Source organism: Homo sapiens, chromosome 11, assembly GCF_000001405.40.
Source record: "Homo sapiens chromosome 11, GRCh38.p14 Primary Assembly".
NCBI lineage: Eukaryota > Metazoa > Chordata > Mammalia > Primates > Hominidae > Homo > Homo sapiens.
The window spans coordinates 87,914,642-87,935,336 of record NC_000011.10 but is presented as its reverse complement, the minus strand read 5'-3'; the positions used below and the strand labels follow the sequence as shown (position 1 = coordinate 87,935,336).

Below are 20,695 nucleotides of genomic sequence, written 5' to 3'. Positions count from 1 at the left end.
GAAACAGTAAAGGGATCAGGAAATGAAGAAAAGGGGGAAGATGTGTGGAAGTTCAAAATCAAAGGATCAGGAGCATATTGGAAGAGCCCCCTCAAAATAAGGCCAAAGAGGATTTTCACATGGATGAAATGACTGAGGAGACGTTTTTTAAAAGGATATCTAATATTTAACTTTCAGTAACTTGTCATATAGCAACCCTTAATTTCTCCAAATCTTCTAGAACAGCTTTTTGGTTTGTGTCCCCTTGAAGGAGACTGGAAGACAAGAAGAAGGGAGGAGAGACCCGCCCTTCCCGAAGTGCTTGCAGTTTCTACCAGCATTAGCCTGGCAAGGGCTCTACACCGTGGCCACAGGACACTGTTTCCAGGCTCCACACAGTCTCTTCCTCAAGCTTCTACATTCCAATATCTCCAAACTCTTCTCTTTGTTATCCCATCTCATCGCTGCCCCATCTCTTCCCATTGTAGCTGTTTGCTGCAACTGCTACCTCAGTGTTACCTTAACATTCCTTTTTCATCTTTTCTATTCCCTAATGTATTTTAAACCAAACCTTTGTATTTTTTTCTGTTAAATACCTCAGATGGTTTCTTTTTTCCTGATCAGACTTTAATATTATACTCATATAAATAATATTCATGAGTGCAAGATTTTTATAAGCACAGATGGAGACAAGTGGTAGGCTTGGAAGATGTACAGACTGAAAGCTTCACTTCCTTTGAGACTGACCACAGGCAGAACTAGGAAAGTAATTTAGCATTGCACGAGAGTACTGCCTCAAATCAATAGCCTTTTATGTTAACATGACATTTATGTTTTCCCAAATAATAAATTCAACTGGGTCAACTTTTTGCCACTAGGTATAAAATAACACTTTTGGGTGGATTTTCTGCCAGGCTACCTATGAGGTTAGCATATAATTCATTTATTTGTCTTTTAATCCAATCTGTTATGATGACATGGCAGAAATAATTTTACTAGAAAATGTATAATTATCATACCAAAGGGGGATCGAAAGTTAGAAAGAATCAAGTTGAAACTTCAATTGTGTCTTAAATGGTGCTTCTGTAGGTAATAAATAGGCCCCTATTTCATGGATTTACCTTTTAGTCATTGCAGTGTCTGTTTCAAGCACACAGGCATGTTATTTGTAATTGAGATACACATCCAGATTTCAGTTTAACTTGGAAGACCTCTATAAAAAGGCTGATTATACTGAAGTGCTTCACTGAGTGGTCCAGGACAATCACGGATTAATTCAGGGAGATGCTGGAAGGTTATTGGCTGTGTAAGAAAGGACTTGAAAGGAACACCCTACCCAGACATGGTAGAAACCCCAGACTAAGAAAGGACCACCCTACCCAGACGTGGTAGAAACCCCTGCACAAACTTCTCTTCATGATGCCTTTCTGCCATGTTCCAGGTTTTTCTCTGCCTTCTGGTGGCAGCAAACTCCGTCCTCAAGAACTCTTAAGTTGTTGCTTCTCAACTTCTCAACAAGGCAGAGAAGCTTGGGTAGAGAAAGGTGTTTCAGCTAATATTTCCTAAATTGGAAAATGCCAATGTAGGTAGGACTTCCCGTCTTGCCATTGGTGGATCTGCTTATGCTAAAGGGAATTTTTTTTTTTTTTTGGCTCCATGCAAACTGAAAAATCTAGGCTTCTTTTTAAGTATGAATTGATTCCCAGCTCAAAAAATGTTATCCACCTCTTGGCTGTTTCCTCAGAGCTACTTCAGTTCTCAATTCTGCCCAGAGACACCAAGGAAGCTTCACATTTACAGAATCTCATTCCTGTCTAGCAGTTGAGAGTTTGTTTTTCTGAAAGCTTAAGTCTTCAGGTTGTGCCTTCTCTGGCAGACCTACTTTGAGACATGTGCCCATTTTTAAACTGCACTGAGTCAAACAGGATAGAATGAGGTAACTAAGCTGGACCAGAACACATGTTCTACTCATGTATTCTGTGAGTGAAATCAACTTTACCTGAAAAATATGAGATGGGAGTGGGCAAGGAACGGCTCAGAGGAAAATGAGGATACCAGTGCTACAAAAAGGAATGGATCTGGGGAAACAACAACAACAAAAAGCCCACTATATGTTATTTCTGTTATAAAGCCATGTTGTAGCATCTCTACCTGAGTACTAATTTCTTTTCATATCTCTGATTTGGCTTCTCTGCTTTCAAAACACCTAGCAGTTGCCTGGCTAATCTGGAACTTGAGTCAGTTTATTTCTTGCTGTATTCACTGAGGATTCATCTTTGTTCTAAGATGAACCTCCATACGTGATATTGTGGGTGGTGCATAACAGATGGTGCTGTTGTCTTTTTAAGGTCATTGATAGGGCTCTTCAGAAAATATAACTTAGCAGACTGTGGATTCTGTGTTCTCATAACTGCAACCAAGATGACTTGACTCTAAATTAAGAAAATAAAATTTCAATAATATGACCTGTCCCTAGGTCCCTTTGCTGCTGATTCTAGAATTAGGAATGCCCAATTTAGAAGATCTGAGTAACCAGTACAGTTTGAAGCCTGGGACACAGCTGCCATTAAGGTATGAGTAGATGAGTCAGGTGGTTTTTGCCTACACACTGGACAACTAGCTGCAGCTGTACTTACACAAAAGGATGGGGAGAAGAGGATGCTTGTAGATGGGATCTAAATGCTTATCTAACACAGCAGAGAGCAAGCTTTGAGAAATTGTTTTGTTGGGTTTTTCATGGGAGGCTGATTACACTAGGATCTAAGTGAGATGTATCTTATTTTTCTGGGCAAAAATCCATTAGAAGAACTAAAGGAAGTTCAGAAGAGATTTGGTGAGATGATAGAAGGAAACTGTTGTGACAGCTTGGTTATGCTTATAGAGAACTAAGCATGCAGAGTCACCATGCTACCCAGACATGTTAGAAACCCCTGCACAAACTTCTCTTCATGATGCCTTTCTGCCATGTTCCAGGTTTTTCTCTCCCTTCTGGTGGCACAAAACTCTGTCCTCAACAACTCTTAAGTTGTTGCTTCTCAGCCTGAATCTCTCTCTCTTTTTTTAAAAATTTTACTTTAAGTTCTGGGATACATGTGCAGAACGTGCAGGTTTGTTACATAGGTATACATGTGCCATGGTGGTTTGCTGTACCTATCAACCTCTCATGTAGGTTTCAAGCCCAGCATGCATTAGGTATTTGTCCTAATGTTCTCCCTCCCCTTGCCCCCCTTGAATCTCTTATTTAGCTAATCTCCCTGGCTATAGCTGGTAGGCTTGGGGTGGACATGGTGTTCAAACCTAGGGACCTGGAACTGGGACATGGAGAGAGCAAACAATTTCATCCTCAGAAGCAGCACCAAAATCCTGGATCATGATGATCCAGGAGCCTGCCATTCTCCCTCACCACCCCACCCCACCCCTCCTGTGCATTGTCCAAATATCCTCCTTTCTCCTTTACTCCCTGGCCCCTTCTGCTTACAGTAAATGGAGGTGCTGCTTCGTTAGTCAGAGAACACACATTCATCTCATTTTGTTCTTGTCCACACTTAAACACACAGATTGTAGGCAAGAATTATAGAGGCATTTGGTGTACCAGCTAAGGAAAAGTTTACAGATGTCAAAAGTTCTTAATACACTTGTTAATTTAACACATATATTCTCTCTGAATCATCAAAGCTAACAGAAGGAACTGATATTATGGGTAATCCAAATATAATTTGCTTGGTTTTGAAAATTGTTCTGTTCTGACATTTGAATGCCAGTGTGCCTGGTGTTCAGGGAATTCACAACATGGAAGCAGCCATATGGTACCTGGTGGCCAGTGGCCTCTGAAAGAACAAGTGATTTCTCAGTCCTACTCCTGGTAATTGCCTCCCTGCTCTGGATCCCTCCCAAGCAAAAGTAGACACATTTCCCAACCTAGTGCAAAGCATCAGCCTGAGTGGAGCTGTCTACACCTTCTCATCTTATATGGAATTCTTTCTTCTCGTACTTGCAATAAGGATGACAGTAGGTATGATGAAAGGGCCTCAAACAAAAATAGACAACCCAAACCAACTTGCATCTATCTTCCTTCCTTCCATAATAGCTTATCTTTTAGTATTATTTCTGCCTTTAAAGATTATCTTGAGTTTATTATCCAAAATGGAAGAACATTCCATGCTCATGGGTAGGAAGAATCAATATCGTGAAAATGGCCATACTGCCCAAGGTAATTTATAGATTCAATGCCATCCCCATCAAGCTAACAATGACTTTCTTCACAGAATTGGAAACAACTACTTTAAAGTTCTATGGGACCAAAAAAGAACCCGCATTGCCAAGTCAATCCTAAGCCAAAAGAACAAAGCTGGAGGCATCACGCTACCTGACTTCAAACTATGCTACAAGGCTACAGTAACCAAAACAGCATGGTACTGGTACCAAAACAGAGATATAGACCAATGGAACAGAACAGAGCCCTCAGAAATAATGCCACATATCTACAACCATCTGACTTTGACAAACCTGACAAAAACAAGAAATGGGGAAAGGATTCCCTATTTAATAAATGGTGCTGGGAAAACTGGCTAGCCATATATAGAAAGCTGAAACTGGATCCCTTCCTTATACCTTGTACAAAAATTAATTCAAGATGGATTAAAGACTTAAACATTGGACCTCAAACCATTAAAACCCTAGAAGAAAACCTAGGCAATACCATTCAGGACATAGGCATGGTCAAATGCTTCATGTCTAAATCACCAAAAGCAATGGCAACAAAAGCCAAAATTGACAAATGGGATCTAATTAAACTAAAGAGTTTCTGCACAGCAAAAGAAAGTACCATCAGAGTGAACAGGCAACCTAGAGAATGGGAGAAAATTTTTGCAATCTACTCATCTGACAAAGGGCTAATATCCAGAATCTACAATGAACTCAAACAAATTTACAAGAAAAAAACAAACAACCCCATCAACCAGTGGGCGAAGGATATGAACAGACACTTCTCAAAAGAAGACATTTATGCAACCAAAAGACACATGAAAAAATACTCATCATCACTGGCCAACAGAGAAATGCAAATCAAAACCACAATGAGATACCATCTCACACCAGTTAGAATGGCGATCATTAAAAAGTCGGGAAACAACAGATGCTGGAGAGGATGTGGAGAAATAGGAACACTTTTACACTGTTGGTGGGACTGTAAACTAGTTCAACCATTGTGGAAGTCAGTGTGGCGATTCCTCAGGGATCTAGAACTAGAAATACCATTTGACCCAGCCATCCCATTACTGGGTATATACCCAAAGGATTATAAATCATGCTGCTATAAAGACACGTGCACACGTATGTTTATTGCGGCACTATTCACAATAGCAAAGACTTGGAACCTAGCCAAATGTCCAACAATGATAGACTGGATTAAGAAAATGTGGCATATATACACCATGGAATACTATGCAGCCATAAAAAATGATGAGTTCATGTCCTTTGTAGGGACATGGATGAAGCTGGAAACCATCATTCTCAGCAAACTATCGCAAGGACAAAAAATCAAACACCGCATGTTCTCACTCATAGGTGGGAATTGAACAATGAGAACACATGGACACAGGAAGGGGAACGTCACACACCGGGGCCTGTTGTGGGGTGGGGGGAGGGGGGAAGGATAGCATTAGGAGATATACCTAATGTTAAATGACGACTTAATGGGTGCAGCACACCAACATGGCACATGTATACATATGTAACTAACCTGCACGTTGTATACATGTACCCTAAAACTTAAAGTATACCTTAAAAAAAAAAACCAAAAAAAAGAATCAAAATTAATGTAGCTAAAATAAACTGTAGCTAAAATAATTTTCCAAATGATTATTTGAAATACAACCCTAAAATTCAACTCCCATTCAGACTGACTTAAATAATTAGGGTATATCCACACCAGGAAATAGGGTGAAACCTTTAATAAGAATGAAATTTAATTTCTATGGGAATATTGGGCTGGAAAAAAAAAAGGAATGAGATAAACATATGTACATGAAAAGATGCCCATGCTAAACTGTTAAAAGGAAAGAGGGGGTTACAATAAGTATAGCACTCTGTTTTTACTAACTAGTTAACTGAATACAACAGATTAATATGAATGAGAAAAAGATCAGGAAGGAAGCCTACCAAATTGTTAACAGTATTTACCTCTACAGGATAGACTTGAATGAATAGGGATGAAGAGCTTTTACTTTTTTTCTTGTTTTTTTTGAGACAGAGTCTCGCTTTGTTGCCCAGGCTGGAGGGCAGTGTTGTGATCTTGGCTCACTGCCACCTCTACTTCCTGAATTCAAGAGATTCTCATGCTTCAATCTCTTGAGTAGCTGAAATTACAGGTATACACGACCACACACAGCTATTTTTTGTATTTTTAGTAGAGATAGGGTTTCACCATGTTGGTCAGGCTGGTCTTGAACTCCTGATCTCAAATGATCCGCCTGCGTTGGCCTCCCAAAGTGTTGGGATTACAGGTGTGAGCCACTGCACCTGGCCTACTTTTTTCTTATATAATTCAAAAAATAGTAGAGTAATGAGTGATTTAGTGTTACTTATTCTTTTTATTTTCATATTAAGAAACTGAGTGTTTATACAATTCTTTGTGGTTCTATTTGAAAATAGGACCATTTGCTTTTTGAAAGCAAATTCATCTAAAATTCATCCTTCTCATTTTTATGTTTCTATTAACTATTGTGTTGACAGTGTTTTAACAAACAGTGGAATTTTTTTATATCGTTATGTATTTTTACCCTTTGATCTACTTTTGTTCACTTAAAAAAAACCTCGGCAGTTTGTCTCAACATTTTACTTAAAATTTTAATTATTTACATTTAAATGCATTTTAAGATATCTTTAATAGTTATGAAAATCATACACAATAAGGATGACTCAATATCATCTTGTTATAAGAGGTATATATCATGGGGAGACTGAATTAAAAGAACTTTCCATTTTTTCATTTATTTTAAGAACACATGATCAGATGTGGAGACTCTCCCCAGGGTTTTCATTTTATATAACTCATCTTAGAATAAACTGATAAATTAGTTTTATTAAAATACAAGAAGTAATTTGTTATTAAAAGTACAACATGAAAGAGGGAAAATACTACTAATAGTTAAAAGTTATTGAACACTTACCATTTGATAAGTACATGTACTGACTCATTTAGCCCAACTGGAAAACCATGATAGTTTCTCTCTCTTCCTTCTTTCTTTCTTTCTTTTCTTGTCTTTTCTGTTTTCTTATTTTTTTCAGGGTCTTGCTCTGTTGCATAGGCTGGAATGCAGTGATACAATCATAGCTCACTGCAGCCTCAACCTCCTGGGCTCAAGCAATCCTCCCACCTCAGCCTCCCGAGTACCTGAAACTAAAGGTTTGCACAACCACACCTAGCTATTTCTTTTTTCAAATTGTTTATGTTGTGTAGAGACAGGTCTCACTATGTTGCCCAGGCCGGTCTGGAACTCCTGGGCTCAAATGATCCTCCTGCCTCAGCCTCCTAAAGTGCTGGGATTATAGGCATGAGCCATCTTGCTCCGCCAATAGCCTTTGTTAGTATCCCTATGTTGCAGATCAGAAAACAAGCAGAGAAAAGTTAAGTAACTTGCCTAAGGCTGACAACAAGTGAGAGGCAGAAAGGGATTTGAAGACAATTTTAAATCTAGTATTCTTCCTTAATTTCTAGTATACTAGTTATACTAGTATACTAGGTTATACTAGAAATTAAGAAAGAGAGAGGGTGATTTCCCCAGGGATAGGAGGAAGGCTTCTTAGATTGGATGGTATGAGTACTATGTCATGTATACAGTATGGTTAAGAGACGAGTATGTGGATTGGCAATTTAACAAAGGAGAAGGTTCTGTTTAGAGAACTCTGTTCAGGAGGTAAGTCAACTGAAGGTAACTCACCTCCAAGTGAAAAGCAGTATACAATATTATGGGTACTCCTGAAAAGAAAGAAACTCATTTATAATCCAACTGCCTTAAAACAAAAATGATTCTAAATTTTTCTTTTATTTATCAAGCCTATATTGAGCACCAGCTCTGTTAATGCTCCCTTCTGAATACTGGGGTGTAGGAATATATTTAATATAATCCCTACCTGCAGGTAGCTCACAGCCAGGTATGGATCATTGAAAACACTGCAAGTCTATTTATACTGACAAGTAGATTCACATCCCAAATTGTATTTTTAGTGGGACGCCTCTTTCTGAGCAGTCACCACCTGCAGTTATTCTTTATAAGCCTCCTGCGATAAATGAGTATGAAGAATAGCAGTTGAAACAGTACAACCAAAATCTTTACTTTATCATACAGATGCAAGTCCACATGTCATCATGTTCCTTGTCTCCTCTCTTCTGAGTTGACTCTCTGAACTGTTGGATCCATCTCCTCCACTGTTTCTACCACTGTTGCTATTCTAGAATGCATCAAAACAAACTAGCCTAGCCAGGGTTTCCTGGGAAATTGGGTGACGTTGTGCAAAGGAAGCCTGGTGGAAGACAGAGCTGCAGCTCAGTGCTGCGGTCATCTTCAGCATTGATGAATGAGTCATCCTTCACAGATTAGCCGGTCAGGTCCTGTGAGGAAAGTCTGCTCTTGCTCATCCTTGAGTAATAAAGCTCAACTCCTTAGCAGCACCAGCCCCAGACTGTCACCTGCCAGCTTAGTTTGCCTCTCTTCCTCTTCATTTAGAATTATCTACAATGACATAGCAACTCTCTTGGGGACTCAAGCTTCCATATATTACCATTCTCAATAGGTAAATTCTTTGGGACTGAGAATGCAAACAAACAAACAAACAAACAAACAAAAAAACCACCATTTGACTTATTTAGAATTAGAGTAAGGAAATTCCTGAGTGATTCAGTGTTCTCATTTTACAGATGAGGCACAGAAAGGTGAGCTCACTTTCCGGAAGTCGATGGCTGAGTGAAGTGATCTAGCTTCAGGGTCAGAACTTTACTACTACATTTTAATTGACAATAGTTTGGTAATTTTTATTATTTTTTTAATTTTAGGGAAGGTAATAACTTTTCTGAAATTCAGTCAGGAACATAGGTTTGAAGCTTTTGAAGCAGAGATGTGAAAGAGAAACTAGGCCAAAAAGGACCTGAGGGTAAAATCATAAGGTTGACAATCATGACAGTCAAAGAGGGTAGTGGCGATTCTTTCATTGGTCGGACCTCTCTGCTCATTATCCATGAATGATGAACTAACTCCGTGCTAACACTCAAGCATAGGCCATTAACAGAGTGGCTGTCTCTCGGTGCAGCACAAAGGGTAAATGAGTAGGATTTGAATTGGTAGAGGTAGAGGGGCATTCTGACATGAACCATCCTCTCCTGCTTCACTAAGACATTGCTGTTCCCTCCGTAAAGACTTCCTGATCGTAGCGTGGCAGGTATCAATGTTAGAAGAAGCCTTAGATGAGTTCGTGTCAAAATCAATGTGGAAAACCCTTCCAGATCACTCCAGATAGACAAAGGCTTTATAGTTTGCTTAAATGCCACTTATAAGAAGCACATTACCTCAACAGACAGCCCATCCTATAATTGGATAACTTCATAGAAAGAAAGTACTACCTTTATTTTTGCAGTCATCTGCCTTCTATAACATTTGCCCACTGGTCCCCTCAAGGAAGTGTGAGATCACCTCTTGGGACTTGTAAAATGATCAGCTCAACCTTTGATTTCCCTCACCCTATAACCAGCCAAGATGATTTCCATTTGAAATAATCAGTTCTTCCCTGAATACCTTCATTAAACATACCTTTATTATATACTTACTCTATGTGCAAACCATGCCAAAAGCTAGGAATATTGAGCAGATAAACAACTGTCCTTGTTAGTTTATGGTACAGATCCTTAGAAAAACAATTATAGTGTAAAATGATCGTCGATGTGCCTAACCCTAACCCTAACCCTAACACAGATGCTTAGCACAATGCCTGGTACATGGTAGCTACTTGGTAAATATTCGTAGAAAAATAAATTCCTTAAGTTAGCATTAATTGGGCAGGTGATAAGAGAAACTTTTTAGAAGAATTGGCGTTTGAATTAAGTCTTTGAAAACTAAGTATTTATGACTTACACCAAGTAAGAGGTTCTAAGCTGAACTCCATTTTAACTTTTCAGTATACTCAGATCTAGGAAATAGTGAAGTCAGGTTTGGTGGATGCTCAAGGCAGGAACTATAACCCTTGTTCTGGTTTTCTAGTATTGCCAGTGAGAGAGAAGAGCTTCTACTAGCCACAGGCCTTCTTTACTCTCCCTGGTTCAAGACATCACCATCCCTACCACTGAGCACACCAACCTCCCTCGTTTACCTAGTGTGCACATGCTATCCTGGAAGAGGAAAAGGAGAAAAGAAATGCAAATATAAAAGCAGGCTTCAGGAGCCACAAGATATGTCCATTTGTTTGCACATGCGCACTCACACACATACACACAACACACATTTGTATACACAATGAGAGGCAATGAGATGCAGTGGAAAAACTGGATCTTTGGAATAAGGTAGGCATTGGTTTGAGCCTTGCCTCCACCACTTCCTACCTGTATGACCCAAGGTGAACCCTTCGTCTTCTCAAGCCTCAGTTTTCTCACTTGTAAAAGGGAAAAAAAGAGTTACCATCCCACAGATCTGTTATAAGAGTTATCTCAAAGTGTGTATGCAACATGCCACCTTTCCTGCAAAGTAGAGAAAGGCTTACTTTCACCTTTCAAAATCTGTTGCCTGGTGAAGTAGAGTGAGGGTCTCCTCCATCATAATAAGGTCGTCTCCCACCAAGGTGCTAGAAGGCCCTTTCTCCATCAAAAATTTACTCAACAGAAAAAAGGTCACCAGTTAATATTTCAGTTTATGACCTCCAAGGACTATTTTGCAAACCATCTCACACTTCCTCATGTTGCATCAGCTGAGATATTTTCTGAGATTTTGTTCTCTGAGTTCAAGGCTATGTCTTGTTTGTCTTTGTATCACTTTAAGTATCCTGTGCTTGTAAAGTGTTTTTGCACTGCAGGTGAAGGTCAGTGTGACCTGGGAAAGGGGCACAGCCTTACTTACCGACTTCCAAGGCATGTATGTGCATTTTGAGTTCAAATACAGATTCCATTACTTGCCAAATTGGGGAAGCAAGTTAACCTCCCAGACTTTCCTTCTCTCATCAGTCACATAAGGAAAATAGTGTCCTTCTTACAGGTGTGTTAGGGGATTTGCAGAAATACTTTAGCAAAGAACTTAGAACAATGCCAAGTGTCTTATTTAAAATGTTGTGTGTGTGTGTGTGTGTCTGTATTTACTTCAGCTTTTTGTTGTTTCTCTGAGATGAAAGAGGGCTTAGAAATGTGTTTTTTTTTTTTTCAATTTTCTCTTTGATCTTCAGTCACTCTCTGACCTTGGAGAGGTGGACATAATGAGGAAAGCCATCAACTAGTATTTTTGAAATGTTAACTATTCTCTCTGGGTCGATGATTCCTCAACTACAAAACTGTGATGCAAATGCTACCTTCACAGTGTTCCCATAAGAATTAAATGAGCCAGCATCTGTGCAGTGCCTTGCTCAGAGCAGGTGCTTAATTAATGGTAGTGATGATTAGTAATGCTATCATTAAATGCATCCAAAGCACCGACTTCTTCTTTCCTAAAACAACCTCAGAATTATTTGTTTACATGAGGAATAATATCACCATCTTTTAAAAAATGTATCTGCATTAGATTGTCAAAAAGCTGCCACACACACACACATGCACACACACACACACACACACACACACAGAATTAATTGACTCTTACATTGGAGCAAGATACAAATACCTTCTATTCTCTAGTACTAATTATGTTTGTTTGTGTGTCCCTACTAATGAATCAAGTTTATGCTTAAGGACAAAATAAATAAATAAATTATTTCCAATTTAAGACTAAGAATCTAAGAATATTTAAAAAGTATCCTGCTGTTTTTTGAATAAATTCTCTAAAAAGTAGGAAAAAAAGGGCAATCCCTTTAATGAATGCGTCTTCTCTAGCATTTCCACTTAGCTATTGCATTTGGAAATGAAACCGTCTCTTTCCGGTTTCATTTTCAAAGGTGGTAATATTAATACTAATACTAACAAAGTAGCAAATATAACTACTTCAACCACCCCAACGCAGGACCACCATGTTTAAACTTCATGTAACATTAATCACTTTGAAAAATATACTTACCTTATTTGGAGGAGAACAGAACAGCTACCATGATTAAATCAGTTGTTGTTATATACAGGTCAAAGTCAAAATTAATCAACTAATTACATAACAGTCATAGTTATTCCTCCCTTTCCTTGTTCCCCTATTCTTTTATTTTCTCCTTCCTTCCTTCCTTACTTTTTCCTTCTCTCTCTCCTTCTGATTCCCTTTTCTTTTTTCCTCCCTCCCTTCCTCCCTTCCCCCTTCCATCTCCCATCCATTTTTCTTCCTTTATTCCTCCTCTCTGTTTCCGCTGTCTTTTCCTCCCCTCCCTCCCTTTTCCCTTACTCTTGCTTCCATCTTTCCTCCTTTCTTATTTATTTTATTCCTTTAAAATATGTACTGAGTGTCAACATGTTCCAGTCACTGTATAAAGTTGTTGGCATAAAAAAATAAATAACTACCACATTTCCATGTACCACAAACCTCATACTGAAAATTTGCTCAGTGTTTTGCAGTGTAAAAATAATTTGGCTCCTTTATTTTAAGAGGGAAAATCTCCATAAGATGACTCAATTATATATATTTTTTTCAGGTGAGAAAAATGAGGCTTGGAAAATTTGAATGACTTGTCAAATATGAATATGACAGGTAATTAAGCATTGCCCTGTCTTAAAAGGGTGAAAAGAAATAAGTAGGAAAATTCTGTATTTAAAAATATTCCCACAGAGGAAAAACAAAAACTAGATCTCCATGATTGAAACAAAAACAGTGCTTTCTACTTAGGAGTTACTCTGCTCCAGTAGCTTGTATTTTTTAATTAATAAATGTGAAATAAAGATGGTCCAGAAATAATAGAATTCTCCTCGTTAGAGGGTGTGCATTGTGGGGGTGGATGACAGATTTACCAGTATAGTCTTTCCCTTTTGAGGCTGCACAATCTGTCTCCCTAATGCAATATAATTACCATCCAAAGTGACACACTGCATGAAGCATCTTGGGATGGAAGTGGAGTTTATTGTGTTCTGGAAATATTTACAGTCATATAAGTTAGACGCTGTCATGAAACCAGTCTAAAACACTATTTAAAATTCTCACTTGGTATATGTTTAAAACATTCTCTTCAGAACAAAGGGTACAGGTGCTTTTGAGAATACTTATTACTTATCTGTCTACCTGCCTACCATTTTTCTCCTTCCTTGTGGTTGGCAGAATCCTGATTTTGCTCAAGTACAGTCCTATGCTCATGTGTTTCATTGCTTAGAAGACTAGATCATCTCTTTAATCATTTTTATCCAATGTGCTGCTTCAAAATGGGACTTACAGTTTTGTTGAAATAAACTAGCTGCTATCTGAGAAAAAAAAAGGCTCTACCAACCAATATTTTTACTCAGTTATTCATTTAAAACTTTTCCTGAGTGCTTACTATGTGCCAGGCACATACTAGGACCTGGGGATGCAAGGATGAATAATACCAATCTCTAAGCTCAAGAAGCTTACAGCTGGTAAAAGAGAAAAGAGTCAAAAGGTACCTGAAGTACAGAGAGAGTAATGTTGTCATATCTAAATGTGTATATATATAATATATATTATATATAATATTTTATATATAGAGAGAGATTTACAATGAAATTATTTCTCAATAAACCCATAAGCTGAAAATATCATGTCAAAAATGCATTTAATATGCCTAACTTACTAAACATCATAGCTTAGCCGAGCCTACCTTGAACATGCTCAGAACACTCATATAAGCCTACGGTTGGGCGAAATCATCTGGTAACACAGTACACTGTAGTGTATTGGCTGTTTACCCTTATCCCATGGCTGAACGACTGGGAGCTATGGCTTATTGCCACTCCCCAGGAACACAGGAGAGTATCACTAGCCCAGGAAATGATCGAAATTCAAAGTATCGTTTCTACTTAATATGGATTGCTTTCACACCATCATAAAGTTTACACATTTTAAAGTCAAACCATCATAAGTCAGAAACTGTCTGTAGTTATACATAGCAGTCCTCATGAATACATTAATGCCATTATCACAGGAATGGGTTCCCTATTGTCAGAGTGGGTTTACCCCCTCTTGTTCATTCTGTCTTTTCACCATGTGATGCCTTCTGTCCTGTTATGATGCATCAAGAAGGCCCTTGCCAGATGCCAGCCCCTTGGTCTTGGACTTTACAGCCACCAGAACTGCGAGCCAGTAAATCTCTAATTATAGATTACCCAATATGTGGTGTTCTGCTATATTTATATAATATGTACTAAAACAATGATAAAGGAATCAATTCATCAAGGAAATGCAACAACTGCAAATACATGTTCACCCAACATGGAAGTACCAAAATATAAAAAGCAATGATTAATAGATCTGAAGGGAGAAATAGACTACAATACAATAATATGCAGTAATTCAATACCCCATGTTCAGTAATGGACAGATCATCCAGAGAGAAAATCTGTAGGAAAATGTTAAACTTAAACTGTACTTTAGACCAAATGGACCTAATAGACATACACAAATACTGCATTCAACACCTGCAAAATACACATTCTATTCAACTGCACACAAACGATTCTCCAGAATAGATCATATATTAAACCACAAAATAAGCCCTAACAAATTGAAGAAGATTGAAATCATATCAAGTATCTTTCCTGACCACAATGGTCTAAAATTAGAATTCAATAATAGGAAAAATATCAGAAAAAGTCACAAATATGTGAAAATTGAACAATGTGTTCCTAAACAACCAATTGGTCAATGAATAAATCAAAAGAGAATTTTTTTTAATCTTGAGCAGAAAATGGAAACACAACATTTAAAACTTATGGGATGCATAAAAATAACAGTCCTAAGAGAGAAGATTATAATAATAAATTCCTACATCAAAAAAGAAGAAAGATCCCAAATAAGCTAACATTAAACCTTAGAGAAACAGAAAAAGAAGAATAAACTGAGCTGAAAATTAGCAGAAGGAAGAAAATAATAAAGATCAGAGCAGAAATAAATAAAATACAGATTATAAAAACAATAGAAAAGATCAACAAAACTAAGGATTGTTTCCTTGAAAAGACAAGCAAAATTGACAAACCCACAGCTAGACTATGGGAGAAGTCTCAAATAAAGGGAGAAGACTCAAATAAATAAAAAGAGAAATGAAAGAAATGACATAACAACCCATGCCACAGAAATACATTTGTCAGACTTACTTAGGGTAGGTGAATTTTATTAAAGTATCATAAGAGACTACTAAAACAATTATATGCCAACAAATTTAAGTTAAATGAAATGAATAAATTCCTAGACATATAAAATCCACCATGACTGAATCATGAAGAAACAGAAAATCTGAACAGACCAATAATGGTTAAGAGCATAGTAAATCAATAATAAAAATTCTCCCATCACAGAAAAATCTCAGGACCAGATGGCTTCAATGCTGAATTCTACCAAATATTTAAGTAACTAATACCAGTCTTTCTCAAACTTTTCTGAAAAACAGAAGAGGAAAGAACGCTTCCCAACTCATTTTAGAAAGCTGGCATTACTCTAATACCAAAGCCAGACAAGGACACCACAAGGAAAAAAAAAATTACAGGCCAACATCCCTGATAAATGATGGATTAAAAATTCTTAACAAAATAATAGCAAACCAAATTCAACAGCTTATTAAAAGGATAATTCACTATGAGCAAGTGGGGTTAATTCCTGGAATTCAAGAACAGTTTAATATAGGCAAATCAATAAATTCCATATATCACATTAATAAAATAAAAAAAAACTATGATAATCTCAACAGATGAAGAAAAGAAATTCAATAAAATTTAACATGCTTTCATGATAAAAACTCACAACAAATTAAGTAGAACTGTTCCACAACACAATAAAGGCCATATAAAAAATTAATAGCTAAACTCATACTCAACAGATGCATAGACCAATAAAATTTAATAGAGAGCTGAGAAATAAATCCACACATTTACAGCTACTTCATTTTTGACAATGATGTCAAGAAAATGCACTGGAGGAAAGGCAGTCTATTTAATAAATGGTGTTGGAAAACTGGATATCTACACACAGAAGAATGACATTAGACCCTTATCCCTCACCACTTATAAAAATCAAAATTGATTAAAGACCTAAACTGTAAATACAGTATAAGAAAACATATGGGGAAAGCTTCATGTCATGTTTTTGGGCAATGATGTTTTTTTTTTTTACTGTGACCCAGAAAGCACAAGCAACAAAAGCAAACACAGACAAATGGGATCACACCAAACTCAAAAGCTCTTGCACAGGAAAAGAAACAATTACTAGAGTAAGGAGACAACCTATGGAATGGAAGTAAATATTTGCAAAACATACATCTGATAAAGACTTAATATTCTAAACATATTTGAAACTTAACTCATAAAAAGAAAACAATAACTTGATTTAAAAATGGGAAAAATACCGCAATAGACATTTCTTAAAAGGTGTAGAAACAGCCAACAAGTATATGGAAAAAAATGATCACCAGTAGTCATCAGGGAAATACATATGAAAACCACAGTGAAATTCATCTAATACCTGTAAAATGGCTTTGGTCTTATGTGACAAATGATAAGAAGTATTGGCAAAGATATGGAGAAAAGAGAATCCTTGTACACTGTTGGTGGGAATGTAAATTAATACATCATTATGGGAAACAGTTTGGAAGTTCCTCAAAAATTAGAACTACTATATGATCCAGTAATTTCACTACTGGTTATAAATCCAAATAATTTGAAATCAGTATGTAGAAGAGAGATCTGTATTCCCACGTTCATCGCAGCATTATTCATAATAGCCATGATATGAAATAAATCTAAGTGTTCATCAGTGAATGAATGGATAAAGAATATGTGGCATATATACATGATGAAGTACTATTCAGCTATACAAAGAAGGAAATTCTGTCATTGTGACAACATGAATGAACCCGGAGGATGTGTTAAGTGAGGTAAGCCAAGCATAAAAAGAAAAGTACCACATGATCTCACTTATATACGGAGTGTAAAAAAGTTGAACTGATAGTAAAATGGTGGCATCCTGAGGCTGGGGGGCGGGGGGCATGAGGAGTGGGCAGGTGTTTGTCAGAGGACACAAAACTTCAGTTGGCCCTCTATATGGGTCTTCCCTCTGACTAGAACTTAAAGTCTCTGTGTCAGTATGGTGTAATTTCTATTGTTTTTGCCCCTTACCAATCTCCCCCTTTCTTTTATTAAAAAAAATTTTAACCAGAAAATAAGGATAGTTAAATCCTGAGATAGGGATTAAGTCATGGTTTAAATGAGGAACAATCAATGCATCAGATTCTGTCCTCTTCTCTGCACACAGTGAATTTATAGTTAAGGATCCCTTTGCTATGAGGGTAGAAAACCTCACTGACTGCACCAATGAGGAAGAAGAGTGCATGGACTCACAGGGAGCCTCACAGCAGCCACATGGCAAGCTCCAGGTGGAGGTGCCATTAAGGCATGTTCTCTCCTTGTTGGTGCCGATAACAATAGGGAACAATGCAGCATGCATTTTAAGACCTGGCCTGGAATAAATATGTTTTGTCTTTCCCTCCCTGAAAAAAAAAAAAAAAAAAAAAAACACTTCAGTGAGACAAGTGAAATAAGTTCAATAGATCTACTGTATGACATGGTGGTGATATAGTCAATAATAATGTATCACCATAATTTATTCTATATACATTTTGAACATAAGTTGAGCTTTCTCAAACCAGAAGCAAGAATTAGTCATTCTTGACACATTTTCCTGTTCTCCACCTCCTCCCAGTTTTTCAGTGTGCTAGAACCAGATATCTGCCTTATACCACCATTTCCTGATGACCATCTCTCTACGAGTCATATAGACTCATCCTTGACTCACCTTGGTGACCCCCACAATACCCCACGCACGGTGCAGGTATGCCACAGTGACCACCTCTAAGTCTCAGCATCCCTCCATGGAACTTGTGCCTACTTTCTCTGAACCCACCAATTAGACTTCCCCATAAGAAACCTGCTTGGGCAATGCCCCAGCCCAGTAAAGGTTTTGGCCCTCATGTCCCTTGCTCTCTCTCTCCCCTGCTTCCCTGCCACTGGTTAAATATGCATATGTCCTGGATGACTCTCCACTTCCCATTGATCCTGTGAGGTATGCTAACCCCTTCTCTCTGGGATTTGTAAGTAATCCACTAAAAAAATCATAAGCATGTGAGATAATACATATGTTAAATAGCTTCATTTAGTCAGTCCACTATGTATACAAAACATCATGCTGCATACAATAAATATGGAGATTTTTATCATCAGTTCAAAAAAGTTAGAAGTCAATAGACTGGATTTTGAAAACAACAACAAAATAAGCAAAATTCAACTATACATTGCCTACAAGAAACCCAATTTAAATATAAAGACAAAAACAGATTTAAAGTAAGAAGGAGAGAAAGACATAATAATTGTCTCAGTCTGTTCTGTATTGCTATAACAGAATACTTGAGACTGGGTAACTTATAAAGAAAAGAGGTCTATTTAGATCACAATTCTGCAGGCTGGGAAGTATGAGAAGCACATTGTTGGTATCTAGTGAGGTCCATGTGCTGGGTCAAGCCATGGCAGAGGAGGTCAAAGAGGAAGTGGACACATGTGAAGAAGCAAAATTAAGGGGCACCCTCACTTTATAACAAAACATGCTCAGTGGAACTAATCCATTTCTGTAAGAACTAATCAATCTCCCAGAGCAAGAATTCAGTCATTACCACAAGAACTGTACCCAGACATTTATGAAGTATCTGCCCCCATGATTCAAATACCTCCCACTAGGCCCCACCTCTCAACACCTTCACATTGGGGATCAAATTTCAACCTGAGTCTGATGGCGAAAAACCATACATAAACCAGTGCATTCCACTCCTGGCCCCTCAATACTGATGTCCATCTCTCATATAAAATACAGTCATTCCCTCCCAATAGTCTCCCAAAGTCCTAATTTGTGTTAGCACCAAAACAAAAGCCAAAATCAGTCCCATCTGAGACAGGTCAAGCTCCTTCCAGTTTTGAGTGTAAAATAAAAGTTATTTACTTCCAAGACACAATTGTGAGACAGACATTTGGTAAATATTCCCATTCCAAAAGGGAAAAGTCATCCAAAAGAAACTAACAACAGGCCCCAAGCAAATAAAAAACCTGATGGAGCAGACATTAAATCTTAAAGATCATAAATAATCTTTGACTCCACGTCCCACATCCTTGGTGCACTGGTGTGAGGGGTGGACTCCCAAGGCCTCAAGCAGTCAGTCCCACCTCATGGCTTTGTTACCAGAAAGCAGTCTTGATTCAGACCCCAAGACAAGGTTCTTGGATCTCACACAAGAAAGAATTCAAGGGGAGTCCATAGAGTAAAGTGAAAGCAAGTTTATTAAGAGAGTAAAGCAATTAAAAAATGGCTATTCCATAAGCATGCCGCTGGTTGTCCATTTTCATGGTTCCTTCTTGATTACATACTAAACAAGGGGTGGATTATTTGTGAGTTTTCCAGGAAAGGGGTGGGCAATTCCCAGAACTGAGGATCCCTCCCCTTTTTAGACCATATAGGGTAACTTCCTGACATTGCCATGACATCTGTAAACTGTCATGGCACTGGTGGGAGTGTCTTTTAGCATGCTAATGGATTACAATTTACATGAATTATAATTATACATGTAATGAGCAGTGAGAATGACCAGAGGTCAGTTTTGTCGCCATCTTGGTTTTGGTGGGCTTTAGCCAGCTTCTTTACTGCAACCTGTTTTATCAGCAAAGTCTGTATCTCATGCCATCCTCCTATCTCATTGTGTGACTGAAAATGCCTTAACTTCCAAGGAATGTAACCCAGTAGGTCTCAGCCTTATTTTACCCTATTTAAGATGGAGTCACTCTGGTTCAAATGCCTCTGACAGCTTTGCTAGGCACAGCTCACATGCCTGCTGTCATAGATTGGAATCAAATGCCTATAACTTTTCCATTTGGGGTTACATACTGCCACTGGCTCTACCATTCTGGGGTCTGGTAGTGGCCTACACCTATGGATCCACTAGGTATTGTCCTAGTGGGGATTCTCTGTAGTGGCTCTGCCCCTCAGGCAGGTTTTGGCCTAGTATCCCAAGTTTTCTGATACAACCTCTGAAATCTAGGTGGAGGCTGCCAAGCCTCTGTGGCTTTTGCATTCTGGGCACCTGCAGCCCTAACACCTTGTAGAAGCTGCCAAAGCTTACCACCTGACTGCTCCAAAGTGGAAGCCTGGGTCACACTTGGGGCCACTGGAGACATGGCTGCTTCAGCCAGAGCAGCTAGGATGCAAGAAGCAGTGTCCTGAAACAATGCAGGGCAGCAGTCCCTCAGGCCTGTCCTCTAAAACTATTTTATCAGGACCTGGATGGGAGGGGCAGCCTGGAAAATCTTTGAAATGGTGTCAGGGCCTTTTTCTCAGTGTTTTCACTATTACGTAACAAGCAGTCA

The 20,695-nt window shown here is 38.2% G+C and overlaps 1 protein-coding gene across 2 annotated transcripts in view, besides 1 other annotated feature; it reads left to right on the top strand.

Annotated features, from left to right (window-relative positions):
* The window catches only part of RAB38 (RAB38, member RAS oncogene family), a 371,729-nt gene that overhangs the window by 240,107 nt on the left and 110,927 nt on the right, over positions 1 to 20,695 (top strand). The gene's annotated exons all lie outside the window — the stretch shown is intronic.
* Positions 8,048 to 9,247: an enhancer, noted in NCBI's record as "BRD4-independent group 4 enhancer chr11:87636982-87638181 (GRCh37/hg19 assembly coordinates)". NCBI's record gives its function as "activates an origin of replication core promoter dependent on BRD2, P300/CBP, MED14 and CDK7 cofactors, and independent of BRD4, by STARR-seq in HCT116 cells {active_cell/tissue: HCT116}" and the evidence as "EXISTENCE:reporter gene assay evidence [ECO:0000049][PMID:35650434]".